The sequence below is a fragment of the Homo sapiens genome, chromosome 7 (genome assembly GCF_000001405.40).
Source record: "Homo sapiens chromosome 7, GRCh38.p14 Primary Assembly".
In the NCBI taxonomy this organism is placed as follows: domain Eukaryota; kingdom Metazoa; phylum Chordata; class Mammalia; order Primates; family Hominidae; genus Homo; species Homo sapiens.
In genome coordinates this window covers 147,392,209-147,410,334 of record NC_000007.14, presented here as the reverse complement: position 1 = coordinate 147,410,334, position 18,126 = coordinate 147,392,209, and the positions used below count along the sequence as shown (strand labels likewise).

General features: G+C 36.5%; 1 protein-coding gene across 2 annotated transcripts in view; it reads right to left on the bottom strand.

Annotated features, from left to right (window-relative positions):
- The window catches only part of CNTNAP2 (contactin associated protein 2), a 2,304,198-nt gene that overhangs the window by 1,010,664 nt on the left and 1,275,408 nt on the right, over window positions 1-18,126 (bottom strand). For both annotated transcript variants that reach the window (NM_014141.6, XM_017011950.3), the window contains exon 10: window positions 14,555-14,726. In NM_014141.6, the coding sequence (NP_054860.1) occupies window positions 14,555-14,726 (172 nt within the window). The remainder of the gene's footprint in view (window positions 1-14,554; window positions 14,727-18,126) is intronic.

Here is an 18,126-nt window from a genome sequence, read left to right as displayed (position 1 = left end):
GTTAGCTCCCACTTATAAGTGAGAACATGTGACATTTGGTTTTCTGTTCCTGTGTTAGTTTGCTAAGGATAATGGCCTCCAGCTCCATTCATGTTCCCACAAGAGATATAATCTTATTATTTGTTATGGCTGCATAGTATTCCATGGTGTATATGTACCACATTTTATCACTGATGGGCATTTAGGTTGATTCCATGTCTTTGCTATTGTGAATAGGGCTGCAATGAATGTCTGCATGGATTGTCTTTCTAATAGAATGATTTATATTCTTTGGTTACATACCCAGTAATGGGATGGCTGAATCAAACGGTATTTCTGTCTTTAGATCTTTGAGGAATTACCACATTGTATTCCACAATGGTTGAACTAATTTACATTTCCACCGGTAGTGTATAAGCATTCCTTTTTTTCCCAAAGCATTGCCAGTATTTGTTATTTTCTGACGTTTTAATAATAGCCATTTTGACTAGCCTGAGATGGTATCTTATTGTGGTTTTGATTTGCATTTCTCTAATGATCAGTGATGTTGAGGTTTTTTTTTTTTTCATGATGGTTCATCTCAAGTATGTCTTCTTGTGAAAAGTGTCTGTTCACGTCCTTTGCCCACTTTTTAGTGGGATTGTGTTTCTTCTTGTAAATTTGTTTCAGTTCCTATTAGATGCTGGATATTAGACTTTTGTCAGATGCATAGTTTGCAAAAATTTTCTCCCATTCTGTAGCTTGTCTGTTCACTCTGATGATAGTTTCTTTTGCTGTGCAGAGGATCCTTAGTTTAATTTCATCATGTTTGTCAAATTTTGCTTGTGTTGCAATTGCTTTTGTGTCTTCGTCATGAAACCTTTGCCCATGCCTATGTCCTGAATGGTACTGCATATGTTGTATTGCAAAGTGTTTATAGTTTTGGGTTTTACATTTAATTCTTTAATCTATCTTGAGTTAATTTTTGTATATTGTGTAAGGAAGGGGTCCAGTTTTAATTTTCTGCATATGGCTAGCCAGTTATCCCAGCACCATTTATTGAATAGGGATTCCTTTTTCCATTGCTTATATTTGTCAGCTTTGTCAAAGATCAGATCGTTCTAAGTGTACCTGCACTTCTATCTCAATTCTGCCTCTATTTTAATTTTCTCTTTTACCACTCTCTATTGCTCAATTGCTGCTACTGGTTTTCACCATCTTCCAGATCCCAGTAAAATCTTACCCTAACCGGTAGACCCACTACTAAACAAATAGTCAGTTAAGACATTGTTTGGGGAGACTAGTGAATATAACAATCTTTCATTAAAGCCTTTTCTTACTCTGAAACCAGTTTCTCTTTCTAGCCAATACCTTTTCCGGTTTCCACATCTAATGAGCCCTCTCTCCTCAGTCCAACTCCTAAATACCTTGGATATTTCCTTTTTCACCTGGTTCTACTGCAGTAATTCATTTCTCATCACCTCTGCCCAGGTAATCAGAACAAGTGTTAGTCATGCAAAACTTGATTTTCCTGAAAATCCCTCAATGGCTGCGTATTGCTCAAAGGATAAATTACAGTCTTTCTAGTAATGCAACGTCCTCTTTTTTTTATTATTATTGAGATGGAGTCTCGCTCTGTCGCCCAGGCTGGAGTGCAGTGGCACAATCTTCGCTCACTGCAAGCTCCGCCTCCCGGGTTCACACCATTCTCCTGCCTCAGCCTCCCGAGTAGCTGGGACTACAGGCGCCCGCCACCACGCCTGGCTAATTTTTTATATTTTTTAGAGACAGGGTTTCACCGTGTTAGCCAGGATGGTCTCGATCTCCTGACCTCGTGATCCGCCCGCGTCAGCCTCCCAAAGTGCCGGGATTAGAGGCGTGAGCCACCACACCCGGCCGCAAGGTCCTCTTTCATTAGGATCCCCCTAAATTCCTAGCTTCAAATCTTCCCTCACTAGTAGCTGCCAGTCTGTGAAAGAACCTACTGTAAATCCTTGAGTTTACTGCACGTACTCAAGTCATTCACACCCATGTACTTTCCAGCTCCCTGGAATGCCTATAGCATGTGCCTTGAACTGCTCCTCTGCCATCTCCATCCCAACCTAGATCCCAGGGAGAATTAGGCACAAGATCCCTTGTGCATACTTTGATTTTGGCGTTTGTGTGTTTTTTTCCAACAATTCCATGGGGTATGTGTGTGTGTGTGCTTTTTCTGATGTCTAACTCTTTCATAAATCAGTAAGAAAGTAGAATCCATAAGTTTACAAATTATTCTTCAAGGCTAAAACTGTCCTTGGACACATGGTATGCAATCAATGAAACATTGTAGAATGAATGGATAAATGAATAAATGAAAAATAGATCTTTTCAACTTTTCCATGACTCTCCTATACAAACATGTTGCTGTAGTTTAAATGATCTCTTGACTGTTTCAGAAATGGGACATGGTTATCTGTGCCTCCACACTTCTGCTCATGCCTCTGATTTTGCCTGGCATGTTCCTGCCTTTCTTTCTCATCATCCGAGGCTAATGCTCCTCTGAAGTTCAACCTACTTCTTTTATGCGGTTTTCATTAACCACGCAGCTGATAGTGGTTTTATTCCTCTTATTAATTTTCTATAGAAATCATTATCTGTAACAATTAAGAAGCAAATGCTTACATGCTTCTTAACATAGTTTTAACATTTCTTGTGAATGTTTACTGTCTCTAGGCTACATCAGTACCTGTTCTGGGAGAAGAGATCCTATCCTGTAACTTTTGGTTTTCTCATTGTGTAGTTTAGTACCAGTGGCCTTGACCTTCATAGGAGATTAACAAGTGTCCTATAATAACTATGTGAGAGAAACTTGCCTTCATGTGTATGGTATTTCTTTTTTTTTTTTTTTTTTTTTTTTTTTTTTTTTTTTTGAGAGGGAGTCTCGCTCTGTTGCCCAGGCTGGAGTGCAGTGGCATGATCTCGGCTCACTGCAACCTCCACCTCCCGGGTTCACGCCATTCTTCTGCCTCAGCCTCCCGAGTAGCTGGGACTACAGGCGCCCGCCACCACGCCCGGCTAATTTTTTGTATTTTTAGGAGAGACGGGGTTTCACCATGTTAGCCAGGATGGTCTCGATCTCCTGACCTCGTGATCTGCCCGCCTCGGCCTCCCAAAGTGCTGGGATCACAGGCGTGAGCCACTGCACCCGGCCTTATGTGTATGGTATTTCTAACTTAGGAAGTGCCACTTGAAAATTTCTCTTGTAATTTTCAAATGCCTGAAGTGTTTTAAAAAAGCAATGCACTTTTATGTCATGTCTAATTTCCCAGAGGGGGGGGTCTTCACTGAAGTGTGTTCATGAAGATAAGTTTCTTGTTGATGAAGCCTGTCTGGGACTATGCCAAAGAAGCAAAAATCATGAAACTATCACAGTAAAAGTATAACAGCTGCGACTCGTTGAAGGCAAACAAAGTTAATGCTATACACAAATGTTGTATGGTACTTAGTGGTTTTACCCTGATCACAATTGTAGATAATGGTCTATTTAAATCAACCTGTTTACTGATTAAGACACCCTTTTCAGATACCGTAATTTGTTAAAATTTATTACAGACTCATTTTTCAAAACCATTTCAAATAAACACACACATACTCCTCACCCCTTCCATCTGCATTCCTTTCTTACTCATGTAACATTCTTTTTGATGTAAGCAGGATTTGGTAAACAAAACAAGATTCAGACTCTAATATTCCTCAATGAATTCATAGGCAAAGACAACAAAGTACTTATCTCTAATATAGCAATGGGTGCCATGAGAATTTTAGACAATGCTATCTGAAAAACTAAGCTTGTTGCCCTCTTAAAACTAGTTTTTGGGCAGTATAGATACAACAATACAAAGAGGAAATGGAAATATGTGTTTTTAATCAAACAAAATGAAAATGACAACTTCATCTTTTTAAAACTGTTTTTTTCTTGGCATAGAAAAATCTATGACTCCTCTTCTTTTCAGCTTATAGATCATTTAAATACCAAAGAAAAAAATTCAAACAAAATGTTATTTTCAAATGCTATAATAAATACCATTGTAAATTTTTACTCCTGACATTTAATGAAAGTAAAAGAGTCTTATACTAATAAACCAGATAACAATGTGATGTAACAGATTGTCCTTCCTCCCCTCCTCTCCTCTCCTTTCCTTTTCTTTTTTCTCTGTATTTGGAATGCAAAGACTCCTCAAAAAGAGAAAGCAAAAAGAAATAATGAACTCTCCTTTTATTCAGATTGGGGAATGATACAAGTCTTCAATATGTTGGGTTTAATGAAATCCAGTAAAGAAATGTCATTAAAAAGATACACACCTTAACCATTTTAATTTAACTGAAAACCTACATTATGTCACCTCAATGACTCGTTGTTAGAGGGAATTACTCTGGGGCCTTTGGGTGTGAGTTCACCCAAAGACTTTTTTGAAGACTTATTTGAAGTCTGTAGTTCAATCCACCGGCCTTTTTATCAAACCATTTCCATATAGTATCACCTTCATTTTTCAGTTTTGGTTTCAAGTGCAGCGAAAACTAAAATCGCCAATGAATTTCAGTGAGTTCACCTTGGGCTTTATGAATCTCTGCAAATGTTTACAGTTGTCTAGGCCCACACATAAACTTATGGTTTTGTGTTTGTTTTGAGCCACTTGTCTTTCTAAAACTTTTACATTTGATTTTACCAGAAACTTTTTTCTGTCTCTGCTCATTTGAAAATGTACTTAGTACTTAATTAAACCATGTTATTACAGTAACAAGTATGACTTGCATATGCATTTTCAGGAATGAACAACTGACTCCCACACAGCATGTTAGGGAGCATATAGCAAATGAAGGATAGTGTCCTACAAGCTCCAACTTCCCCTTCATTAAGTTGTATCAGTCCCAATATTTTACAAAAAGAATGGTACATGTCCATGAGTCTGTAATCTTGGTTTAGGGGAGAGCAGTTAAATGAATTCTTAGTGTGAAATCGTAACTGCAATGTATTCAAGTAATTGACAAAAACAATTATTTTAAGAAGAAAGCACTTGTTAAGAAAGATATTTTAAATGTTTTAAAATCAATTGCTCTTATTTTTATTTTGCAGGTAATATGATATCAAAAGCAAGAAATAAAATCGATTGGCTTATTTAAATCTCTCCGTAGTTGATTTAGCTACATGTTAAAACTATTTATCTATTTCCTTTCTGCTTATCTTCAAACATATAACTGTTTTTCTGACATTACTTTAATGCACTAAGCCTTCCTTGGGATTTAAATGTCAAAGCACAGCTATATGCCATGCCAAAAGCAAATATAGTTTTCTTTTGTCCTAATACATGCAATGCATCAAAGAAGAATACAGCTGCTGTTGAATCTTAAAATGGCTAATTCAACTTTTTTCTTTTCCTTTATTTCTTAGGAGAGTTATCTCCTCTGGCATTTCACTACCTTTTTTTAAAAAAGAATATGTTTTTGTCACTCTAGTATTCTATTTGTACTTAAAATAAAATCACTTTGAAATCACTTCAGAGAGGCAACTGACTTGAACATGGGTTCGCCTGGGTATGTGATACTTTTAGGTCATTGAGCTGATGTTTTTGTGCTAGAAAGATGCCCATGGCTTAAATGTTTATGTATAAACAGGAAGCTCCTCCCTTCTAAAAGAAACCAAAGGAAGCTAAAGATCAAATGAAAGACTGGAGTTAGCATGGAAGGCCAATAAAGTTTAAATAAAGAGTCACACATCTAATATTATGAATAAGTCAGATTTAGCATGATGAAATGGGACTTCTCAGAAATTGCCAGTAGTTTCATTTATCAGAAACTAAGATAGAGCATAGCGATTTGCAACATAAAAATCAGTGGAATCCAATATGGGAAATAAACCGAGTTAAGGTGAAGGGACAAGATGAACGTATCTACCTGAAAGAATCACAATAGGATGACCCCATGAGAAAACTGACGTTTTTCTATATGTTTAAGTTGGGGATTAGGTTTTAGGACGCAAGAGCTTTTGTCCGAAGCACAGTCTCTAAAAGGAAATCCAGTTTCACTTATGAAAAATTGCTTGTTGGCTCAAGTTCTTTCAGAATTAGCTTCAGCCAACCTGTTCTTTGATTATTTGTAGTTTGATGGGATCACAGTCACAACGATGTCAGGATTGAGCAAATGTAGAGTTTTGAATAACGTGAATTTATCTGGGAGACTTTCTGCCCCCTTTACCTCTTATCAATAATTATCATGAATGAAAGTAAGGTATTTCCAGAAGCCTACAGTATGCGTAATGAAATAAGCACCTAATGGTAAAAGACAAAATATTTCCCAAAGTAAGAGAAATGCCTGCACAGTTTGACGCCAGCTTAAATGATGACATTAACATTTCTAAAGAAAAAAAGAGAAGGAGATGGTCAACCTGGAAATGTATGAAAAAAGGAGGTGTCCGACCTAGAGGGTAGCAGTTTGGAGTCAGCAAGATTCAGGTGAAAGAGAAAGGAAATCTGTCATAAAAACCATCACTAAAGAAACACTAATAAAATTTTTTTTTTCTTACTCTATGGCTGTCTTACCAGTGGATCAATGGTTATACAATTATCATATAAAGTAGGTTCTGGGATAATTCACCTCTAGAGTCTGGACTGAAACAGAAAATTAAGAAACATGTGGATTTAATTTTGGAAAAGTAGTCTAAAACCAAGTAGCTTTTGATTGGAAAAAGCTATATTTTTGAGAGCAAAACAGAGGCATTGTAAGTGTTAAGACATAAAAGCCAAACAACCATTAAAACAGTGTAGAGTCTGATCAATCACCCTCCCTTCGTCACCTCAGCATTCAGTCCCAGGAGGTACTGTCTGCTGGTTGGTGTGATCTTCAAGAAGTATTTGTTGACTGAATAAATCTCAACCCTAAGCCAAAAAAGAATCTGAGAGAAGTCTCAATCAATTTAGTTTATTTTGCTGAGGTTAAGGACATTCCCATGACACATCCTCAGGAAGATCTGAGGACATGTGGCCAAGGTGGTTGGGGTGTGACTTGGTTTTATACATTTTAGGGAGACATGAGACAACAGTCAATATATGTAAGATGTATGTTGGTTCCATCTGGAAAGGTGGGACAACTCAAAGCAGGGGCTCCCAGGTGATAGGTAGATTTAAATATTTTCCGATTGGCAATTGGTTGAAAGAGTTATTATTTAAAGACATGGAATTAATAGAAAGGAATGTCTGGGTTAGGATAAGCAGTCATGGGGACCCAACTTTGATCATCCAGATGAAGCCTCCAGGTAGCAGTCTTCAGAGAGAATGGATTGTAGATGTTTCTTATCAGACTTAAAGAGACTATTCTATCAGTCTTAAGGTCTCTGTGTTGATGTTTGTGAGGCATGTCTGACCTAAACTAGTTTTTTTTTTTTTTTTTTTCAGGATTATTTGGAATGTCTTTGGCTAAGGGGAGGGTTCATCAGTCAGTATGATGGCTTAGAATTTTATATTTGGTTTATACAGCAGAGACTTAGGAATCCTATGATGGCCTTTGAGGGTCTAATGTGTAGAGGGCCTCATGTCAGCCTGAGTGGCTGTGTAGAGCAGATAGGGAGGGATGGCATGCTGAAGTAAAGGGGGCGTAGCCTAAGGAAGCTGTCCCTAATGCCTAACCTCTCCCCAACAACACATATGCCATGATTTATTTCAGCTTTATGTAGTCTCCAAAAGATATAGAAATCACTGTGTGTCCCTATAGGGCCTATAAAATGCTTAGATGGCTGGTAGATCAGACGAAGGTATTAGGAGAAAGAAGACCTAGTGTGTATAGTCACCAACCATCCTAATTTACCCAGAACTGAGGGGTTTCTCCAGAAGCAGGACTCTCAATGCTAAAACCAAATGGGACTCAGACATGCTGGGAATAGCTGTCACCTTAAACACAGATCCCAGAACCTAAGTCCAGCAATACCCATGACATATCTGAAGGCCAGAAGGAGCAGTTGTCATGACAGTGGGTGGCAGGGACAGAAGTGGGACCCTGAAGGCCGACCAGGCTGGGGACTCTCAGGGAGCTCAGAGGGAACCTTGGTGGAGCAGGTGGGACAGATCCCACCCCTGTGGTGATAACGTATTGCATAAGCTGACTCTGACCCAAGCCATGCTAGGGCATCTAGAACTCTTGAAATGGTAGTACAACCACAAAAGGAAGTTTACCTTTGACTGAGATCAACTCCCATGTTGACCGAATATACACGGAAAGGAGGAGTGATTACAGTACCAAAATGTATGTGTTCAAGTATTTATCTTTTCTGCTACTGACTAGAAATAGGGAATTAGCGAATGAAGACAAATTTTAGAAAATGATAAATGTTACATGTTTTCTTCATCTAAGTTATGAACGCAAAATTTAAGCCTGCTTTTGTAGAAACTCATGACCTCTTTTGTTTTAGTCCATTTTCACGTTGCTATAACGAACTGCTTGAGACTGGATAATTTATAAAGAAAAGAGTTTTAATTGACTCACAGTCCCACACAGCTGGAGAGGCTTCAGGAAACTTATAATCATGGCAGAAGGCAAAGGGGAAGCAAGGCACATCTTACATGGCAGCAGGAGAGAGAGTGAGTGAAGGGGAAAGTGCCATACTTTTAAACTATCAGATCTCATGAGAACTCACTCACTATCATGAGAACGGTAAGGGGGAAATCCACCCCCATGATCCAATCACCTCCCACCAGTCCCCTTCCCTGATACATGGTGATTACAAATCAACTTGAGATTTGGGTGGGGATACAGAGCCAAACCATATCATCCTTCTTGACTGCTTTCATTCGCCTTTCCAACAGAGTCAATTTAGTTTTGAGATATTTTTCATGTATCTACCTAATCCTCATTTAAATGTTCTTATGAAAATTCATTTACTTATTCTTTTCTTTGAAAGAAAAAAATCAAACTGGATATTCTTGAAAATAAAGCATTGAATTAAAAAAAAACTGGGTCTGTGATTATGTACTTCATCCAAAAATATAATGAAGACTTAATTACTAACTCTGGAATAGGATCTAGTCTATTCATAATTTCTCAAGTGGTAATTTTGTAGGCTATGTTTAAGTTGGGCAATTTGCATTTCCTTTTCCGCTCTCTGTGTTATCTGGGATGTTTACTGATTTTGTTTCTAAATGTATTTTTTAATATATTTTCAATGGAGTTAGACAGGAAAGAGCAGAGGAGATTCTAATTCTAATGAGTCACTTTTTACTAGTGCTGGCTCTAACAATATGAATTTGCTTTGGCCTCTAAACAGCTATTTAGTCCCCAGATTTCAACCTCTAGGGGACATCACTAAAATGCAACTTAATACACTCCAAAAAGTATTATCTTTTCTTTCAAAGTCATTTCCATATTTAGGAATTTGTTCTTCTGTATTCTGGTAAAATGATGGTACTGGTTAATTTTAGAAGTGGGGACTAGGGAAAGGGCAGGTGCTTTTGGCTCCAAGAAAAATAAAACTTAATTCATAATTACTTAGATAAGTGATAGTTGATATTTTTCACATACAAGTTAGTATCAGTGGCTGCTCGATCTATGGTTTTCTTGACCCTACAGCTCTAGACATCAGTTCTACATTTTACCAAGGATGGTGGAGAGCAAGAGGGGCAACTGTATCAGGAGAACAAAAGCTTTCCCAAGAACACCACAGCTAACTTCTGCTTAGCTCTTAGCAGCCAGAACTGTGTCTCATCTCTGCTTCTGCCTAGCATAAAGTAAAAAACATTCCTCTGGCAGCTGAGCTGTGAAGAGTGCTCTTAGGACTGAAACAGAAACCACAGTTGCAAAATGGACTTCACTATTACTCACAAAACAGAAAAAAAAATTGTCAAACCAAGCATGATCACCACTTAATTAAGCTCAAAATATGTTAACATCAGCTTCTTCCTAACCATGTGTCCTGGCTACAACCACAGAAAAACAGGTCAAACAATAATTCTACAACAATTCACAAGTTCTGAGGCCAACTATCAGATCTGTTGTAGCGAGTCTCCGAGTTTAGGAATTCTAGCCAATACCAACAAGGACTGACTCACTCCATCCCCTAATACCCTCCCTGACTCTCCCTCAATGTCCGTCCCTCCCCAAGCACCCCCTCTCCCCAACTTTGAGATGCCCTATGGTTCTCCTTGTGATTCTCTCTTGAAGGAAGAAGTGAGTGGACCTAACTGTGGCTAAAGGAGTGTTTCTGAAGGTTTGGGCTCTCAGGTTTTCACACCTGGAAAGAGGCTGGAGAGAAAAAGATTGAGAATAAGAGTTGAGTCAGGCATCTTAAGATGTTTGCCACAAGCAGTCAATAATGCAAGGGTTCTAGAAATGAGTAAAAGAGAGTAACAATGCAAGAAGAAACAAAAATGTTATCTCTGGGTATTTTACCTTTCTCAGAGAATGTTTTGGAAACTGAAGGTTGATGACAATCCTCCTCTCTAAGAGCAGATTATCACTAAGGGAATCAAGCTAGCAGCTTCCATTGTTAGAGAGCAATTTCTGCCCATTATCCACCACCTCCCCTTCCAGTTCTATGATTGCTTATAAAATGTAACTAAAGACACCAAAGACCCTCAAGAGTTAAACAAAAGGGATTCTGTCAATCACAAAGGTTTATTGTGTAAACCTGCAGACACAGGCTTGTTACATACATATATCCAACTCTCTTCCTGACATTTCTACTTAGACGTCCAGTAGACATTTCAATTCATGTCCAACCTTGAATTTCTGACTTTTTCTTTAGCCCCTTTGACTAATTTTCTCTACAACTAGTCTTCCCAGTCTGAAGAGATGGCATCTCCTTTCTTCCTGCTGTTCTTAGCAAATCATTTGGATTTATCCCTATTTCCTCCATTTCTCTCATACCCCACATCTAATTTGTAAAGAAACCCTACTGACTCTGCCTCCAAAATATATTCAGAATTGGCCACATCTCACTACTTCTTGTGCTAGCACCCTGGTCTAGGGTACACGCGTCTCTCACCTGGATTATAATGGCATAATTTTAGTTAGCCTCCTGCTTCTACCTTTCTTGCTCCCACAGCCCAGATTCATCCTTTTAAGACGTGAGTACATCATGTTGCTCTATTTAGAACGCTGCAAATGGCTCCTGTATTCATTCAAAGTAAAAGCCACACCCTGACAATAACCTACAAGTCTGGAGGGCTTGTTCTGGCGTCTATTCCTTCAACTATTCTTGACCTCCCGAAACTTGCCACCATGGCTTCCATACTGATCCTGGATCATGCAAGTGCCTCTTTCGTTGCCTGTGCTCTCTGGGTCAAATGTTCTTTCCCTGCATTAGTACATTCAGTTACCTCTTTCAAGTCTTGCAGTAATATTATCTTTTCAACGGAGGCTTATCCTGGTCAACCTATTTAAACTACAACTCAACACCTTGATCTACTGACATGCCAGGCTTCCTTGTTTTGTTCTAGTATTTTTACCCATAAAATTTATTCCTTCTCACTTGCTAGATTATTTACTTTTTAATTAGAGTTTGTCATCTCTCCTTCCTCCCCTCCCTCTACCATGTCAGCTTAGAATTTTCAATAATCTTTATCTGTCCTGTTCAAGGATTTATTCCAAGTGCCTAGAATAGCATGACATCTAGTATGCACTCAGAAAATAAATACTGAATGCATAATTCTGTAGCTTGGCAAGCTTGCTTTTTCCTTGATTCAAAGCTGCGTTCAGAAAATAAGCACGTGAACAAAATAAGCCACATGCAAATCTACACACAAAGCAAAAAAAAAAAAAAAAAAAGTTCAAATCGTAGGGTATTCCAATACAACACACAGAAAAACACCTTCAGACAAATTGTTTCCCTAAGTTCTACTCATCAAATCATTGCAGCTGTGACTATTATCTCCAAACATTCTATAAAAGTCAGGCTTGTGTAGCTCTTTTATTTTTTTTACCCTATGTTCTCATTTATACTTTTTTTTTTCTCCCTCTCAAAAATAACTCTCAAATCGATCAAGCTGGAACTGGGAAGGAGAAAAGAAAAGCCACTGTAGGCTTCCTTTGGGAGAATTTGGGTAATCTGAAAAGAAAGTTGTAGATACGGGGCAGTTGCAAAGTCTCAGCGAGGAGAAAGAAGCAGAGATGTGCTAGGGGTGTATCATTAAAGGATTATCTGGATACATCACTGCTCTATGAGGACAGACTAAAACCACTGGTACTTTTACCTGGAAAGACACAGATTAAGGGTGATATCATCAATACACTCTTCAGTGGTTTAAGTAAAATAGTCCTGTCTCATACCTATGAAAGTACAACACTTCATGCTTAAGATTTTGAACTGGGAACATTTTAGGTGACTAAAGGAATCTGCTGTTTCACACATTGGTATTTAATGTACAGATGTTGTTGCCTTAAAAAAAAAGTGTAAGCTAAAAATAGGTCCCATAATGGGTTTAGAAAATGCGTGGAGATGTGTCACAGGTGGCTACTTCCCTGCAGCTAATCTTTTCATTTGTCATCCTAAAGAATAAGAAAGGTGTGAACTTTGTTCTTTTAGCTGCAGGAAACTTGGCAAGATGAATATTGGGCCTGACCTATTTTGGCAAAAAAAAAAAAAAATTTTGTGTATCTCTGTATCTGTGAAAAATTGAAACTTGTATTTTCTTTTCTATACCTTCCCTTGTGTTGGTCTCCCCACCAGGAGTATCACCTTCCATTTTATTAATTTACCAAAATCCCATTCATTCTTTTGGGACCAATTTAACTCCTGTCTCTATCAGAGTAAAACATTAATATCTCAACATATCACCCCTCTTTCTTTAGTAGCAAACAATTTATATATAATGCCTAGAAACACGATGTTTAGAGAGAAACAGCAACATATTACCTAGCCCTTTTACCAAGCTGAAAGAGGTAATGAAATTATTGTATCATCACAATTACTGACCTGAAAAAAAGAGTAGATACTAAAAAACTCCATAACTATTATGAAGAAAATATTTTTTTCTGTACAAAACAATATGTAGATAATTATCTAAAATCAGAACAAATGATCTTTAAAACATTCATCTCAGCTTTTCTGATTATTGCTGCTACTTGCTCTAGGCAGAAATAATAGCTGATACATTATTAATGGCTCAATAATTAGGAGTATATTTCCATTAAAATTGTTCACTATTCTATTTAAATATAAACTGTTTAGGCTACTAAGATCAGTACTTGCATACATGAATAGAAATAAGCAGTATACTATGTCATAAAGTCTTCTTATAAACATGTGAAGGCTTTATAGAAGTTCTATCTTACAGCCACCACAAACTGTAACTTACCATTCACACGAACGCCATCTTATTCAGATTTTATGAAAGCAAACTTACTTCAAAATAGATTATTTTATATGTTTGTAAAATTCATTTTTGAGTGACTTCTTAAAGTATTTCCTCTTGAATAAAATACATTTGTTAAAGACTTATGGTCTACATTTTGTTGTGGGTAGACTGAGATAGGATTAATATCTTAGTTCAAAATTTTAAAAAAATTTAAAGAACTTTCATCTTCCCTAAACACAAAATTAATAAAATGAGCTTTTAGGATAAGACAGTTCTTCCTCAAAAGACTTCAATATATCTTAGAAAATCATATAAATTCACTAGGTTAACTTCAAATCATATATAATTTGTTTACAGACAAAGCATCTCAAAATGAAACTTGTTCATAGTGGAATGACAGGCCCTATCTAGAAGTATATTAAGGTAGTGTATGCAGTATAATCATAATATTTCACAGAAAAGTTGCATCTTCCCACTGTGTGAGAATACAATTAAAGTTTTTATTAAAAATTTCTCCCCAGGTTTGCAAAACCAATAAAGATTTGATTTTTGTCATATTTTAATAGGTGTATTTTGTAAGCTGAACCAGTTACTCTAAATATTCTGCTTCATAAATACCCATCTTGCACACTGACACTTTTGTAATATTCCTTTTCTTTCAGAAGCGGGTTTTGGAAGGCACATGCTGAGGCCAAGTCATGATTGAGACAGAAAGAGAAGGCACATTTCTGCTGTAAACTAAAAATCAACTGTCAGAGTTTCTCTGCCACACTGCTGTTGCTTGCAAAACTACTTATTGAAGGCTCAGATTCTCTGATTGGAGACTGTTGAACAAATATAACACCACAGTGTGTTTTATCACATATATATATATATATGCTATATATATATATGATATATCTCATATATATTTATCATATATATGCTATATATACAATATATCTCATATATGCTATATATACATATATATGCTACATATATATGTATATATGTTATATATGATATATCTCATATAGCACATATAGGATATATCTCATATATAGCATATATATGCTATATATGATATACATGATAGATATATGATATATATATCCACATAAAAACATAAACATAATCACTGCTAATATCACAAGTATACTACAATACGTACTTTGAATGGTAATTTCCACCTTACCTGTTTTTAACTTTAATTTTCTTTTGGGATGTTTCACTGGTCTCACAACAGAAACACAGGTTTGGAAAGTTTGGACAACGTGAGGTAGGATGAAAAGATCATTTACCTGTCTATGATCGCACACATGTCAATGCTGACATTCGCGAAACTTCCCGGCTTCCTTTGTGCCACTTCGTATAAATTTACAAGTTGATCGTCCACTTGAATGAGCTGCATGCATCCTTGGAATGAAGGCTGAAGGACAGAGTGACTTGAGTTATTCATCTGGTTCAGAAAACCTGTGAAACAGAAGAAATGGGAATGTAAATCTGGTGTACAGTATAACCTTCACTAAAATTCTTGTGGGTATTCTACCTGGCCACAGCCATCACATCCAACTACTGTTTCTTTAATCCTTGCTGATGTTATATTCAGTGTAGAAAAAGGAAGTTTTTTGAGAAAGTGAGATTATTACAGAGGAAGAAGTCAGGGTTGAATTGTAATGGGTTACCAGGTAAATGTTTGCCTCTGGGGTCTACTGTCACTCAAATTTTCTCTTTTGACATCATCTTTCTCACTGTCACATCTTTCTGTCCCTCTGCTGTCAAAGACTCACTGTTATTCTTTCTCTGCTGAGCCAGCCCTCAGAGATTAGGACACAAAACTTTAGAACTTTCCCAACTATCCAACTTTCTTCTTCTTGTTTCTTTGATATTTATTTCTATTTTCTTAATTCCCTATTGCCTGTTATTCAGATGTCAAATAAGCCAAACTTACTATTATGAAATAAAGTAGATTAGTGTGTAACTCATTACAAAGAGATATTTGCATTATAGATGCCTTTTTTTAATTTATAAAATCTAAGGGAACATTAGAAGCAAATAAATTTAGGCATAAGGGTCAGCCACCCTACTTTGAATATACATCTTCTACAAACTATCTAATATGGTATAAATAAAATACCATAATATGGTATATATAAAATACCATAATATGGTATATATACTAGTAAATAATAACAGATAGAACTAAAATTAAAAGAGTAAATAACAAGAGTAAACACACACACACACACACACACACACACACACACACACACAATACTGTTGATTCTATTAGGAAATAGAATGCCCACACCAACCTTGAAATCAGACATTAAGAGTTTATTGCTAAATAACTTTAAGAGATCACCACCAATCAATTACTATTATATCTTTTTAAGAGAAACATGCATAATTGGATAGAAACACCCATTATGGATGGAAAATTTGTAGGCCATAAGAAAATGATATTTTTCAATCCCATTAAGTATCTCCAGAAAGTCCCCAGAGCTTCTACTTTTCATATGGTTCACCATACCAAATCTGCCTACTGGGCAAATTTAAACTGTACTAATTTGTCTGCTTGCAAATCTGAAGTTATTGACACATTCACTTCATCTAATATTATATCTGTAACAACAAACAATTTATATAAAATGGGATGGAACCAAAGTTCCATTAAATGGATAAAAGTGAATTTTCAATAAAAACAAAAAATGGCCATTATATTAGTCTGTTCTCATGTTGTTAAAAAAGACATGCCAAGACTGGGTAATTTATAAAGAAAAGAGGTTTAATTGACTCACAGTTGAGAATATCTGGGGAGGGCTCAGGAAACTTATAATCAGGGTAGAAAGGAAAGCAAGCACATCCTTCTTCACAGGGCAGCAGCAAGGAGAAGTGTCAGGCAAAGTGGGGAAAAAGACTCTTATAAAACCATCAGATCTCATGAGAACTCACTCACTATTATGAAATGATAGAATTACCTCCCAGTGGGTCTCTCCCATGACATACAGGGATTATGGGAACTACAATTCAAGATGAGATTTGGGTGGAGACACAGCCAAACCATACCAGTTATTAAGTGACATTTTCAAAATATCCTATTCTTTTTGACCAAGGATAGTATTTTAGTAGAGCAGAAATCTTCTTTTTCTCTTCATTAATGGATTACAATATTTAAAGTCCAATAACTGTCATTTGAATCTCCTATAAGGATTAATCACAAAGGTATATATTATTTCCTATTAACACAGTACTGTATAAAAATAAGATTGTATTTGAATTAACTTCTTGACTTAAAAAAAATCCATGTAAGGCTCTACTTTAATGTTAATATATGGCTCGTGTGTGTGTGTATGTGTATTTTCTAGTCAACCACATTTTTTTCATTCGCATTGACTTAGTCCCTTCAGAAAAATGCTGATATTAGGTAAATGATCTGTTTATACCAGTTGCGTGCACACATGATTTTCAATTGTTTAATCAAGATAAAATTGAATAGAGTGTAATGTCTAAACTTAGCAGAGAGAAAACACCCAGTTGTAACTTACTGACCACTCTTAAGAAGACTGTCATTTGTTTCTGTTTTTTTTTTTTTTTTGAATAATTGGGAGTCTCACCATATCCACACTAGCTTTGAAAGATTTCAAAATGAATGGATGTATGTGTGAAAATAAAAGCTGCTCTGAAGCACAGCAGCTGCATAAATACCGATTACTACAAATTGGGTATAATTAAGGTTGTAAAACAAGAATTCATCATTCGCTTATAACAATGTTCTGTTTGATCTTGGTAATTTTGAAGTTTGAAGTGGTTAAGTCCTTTTATTTTCCAATAGGAGATATATTCTAGGAGAAGATAATTATAGGACAAAATACTACATATTCATTAATTTTTTTCTCTCCATAATATTCCAAGATGGACATCGTTAATCTTTGGCTCCTGACTTCACACCCTTTTGTTGTCCCCTTCTATAATCAATTAGGCCTGACTTCTGTGAACAATAGAAAACTCTGCAACTTGGTCTCTGAGATCACTTACTTCGTGGCAAGTCATCACCATGTCATACACTGTCTTCTGGAGTGGCCCAGGAGAGGTAATGAATATTCATCATTGTTTGAAATTAATTTTAAGGTGACACATAATGCAACAATAGATATCAAATAAAGAATGTGATGTCTGGACATGCCATCCAGGTTGCTGTAAATGCCATTAATTCACTACTTTTTATGGCTGAGTAGTATTCCATTGTATATATACCATAGTTTATCCACTCGTTGATTGATGAGCATTTGAGCTGGTTCCACATTTTTGCAATTGTGAATTGTGCTGCCATGAATATGTGGCTTTTTTATACATATACACAATGGAATACTACTCAGTCATAAAATTAAATGAATTAATGGCATTCACAGCAATCCAGATGGGACTAGAGACTATTATCCTAAGTGAAGTAACTCAGGAATAGAAAACCAAACATCGTATGTTCTCACTCATAAGTGGGAGTTAAGCTATGAGAATGCAAAGGCATAAAAATGATACAATGGACTTTGCGGACTCAGGGAAGAAAGGTGGGAGAGGGGTGAAGGATAAAAGACAAATTGGGTTCAGTGTATACCGCTAAGGTGATGGGTGCACCAAAATCTCATAAATCACCACGAAAGAACTTACTCATGTAGCCAAATACCACCTGTTCCCCCAAAAACCTATGGAAATAAAAATTAAAAATAAAATAAAATAGAATAAAATACTTTAGTACCAAAAAAAAAAAGAATTTGATACTGGCAGAGAATTATAACAGAAACCTGAAAATGTGGCAGTAATTTAGGGACAGGAATATGCAAGTTAGCGGGACAGGCCTTAAAAGAAGCGTGAT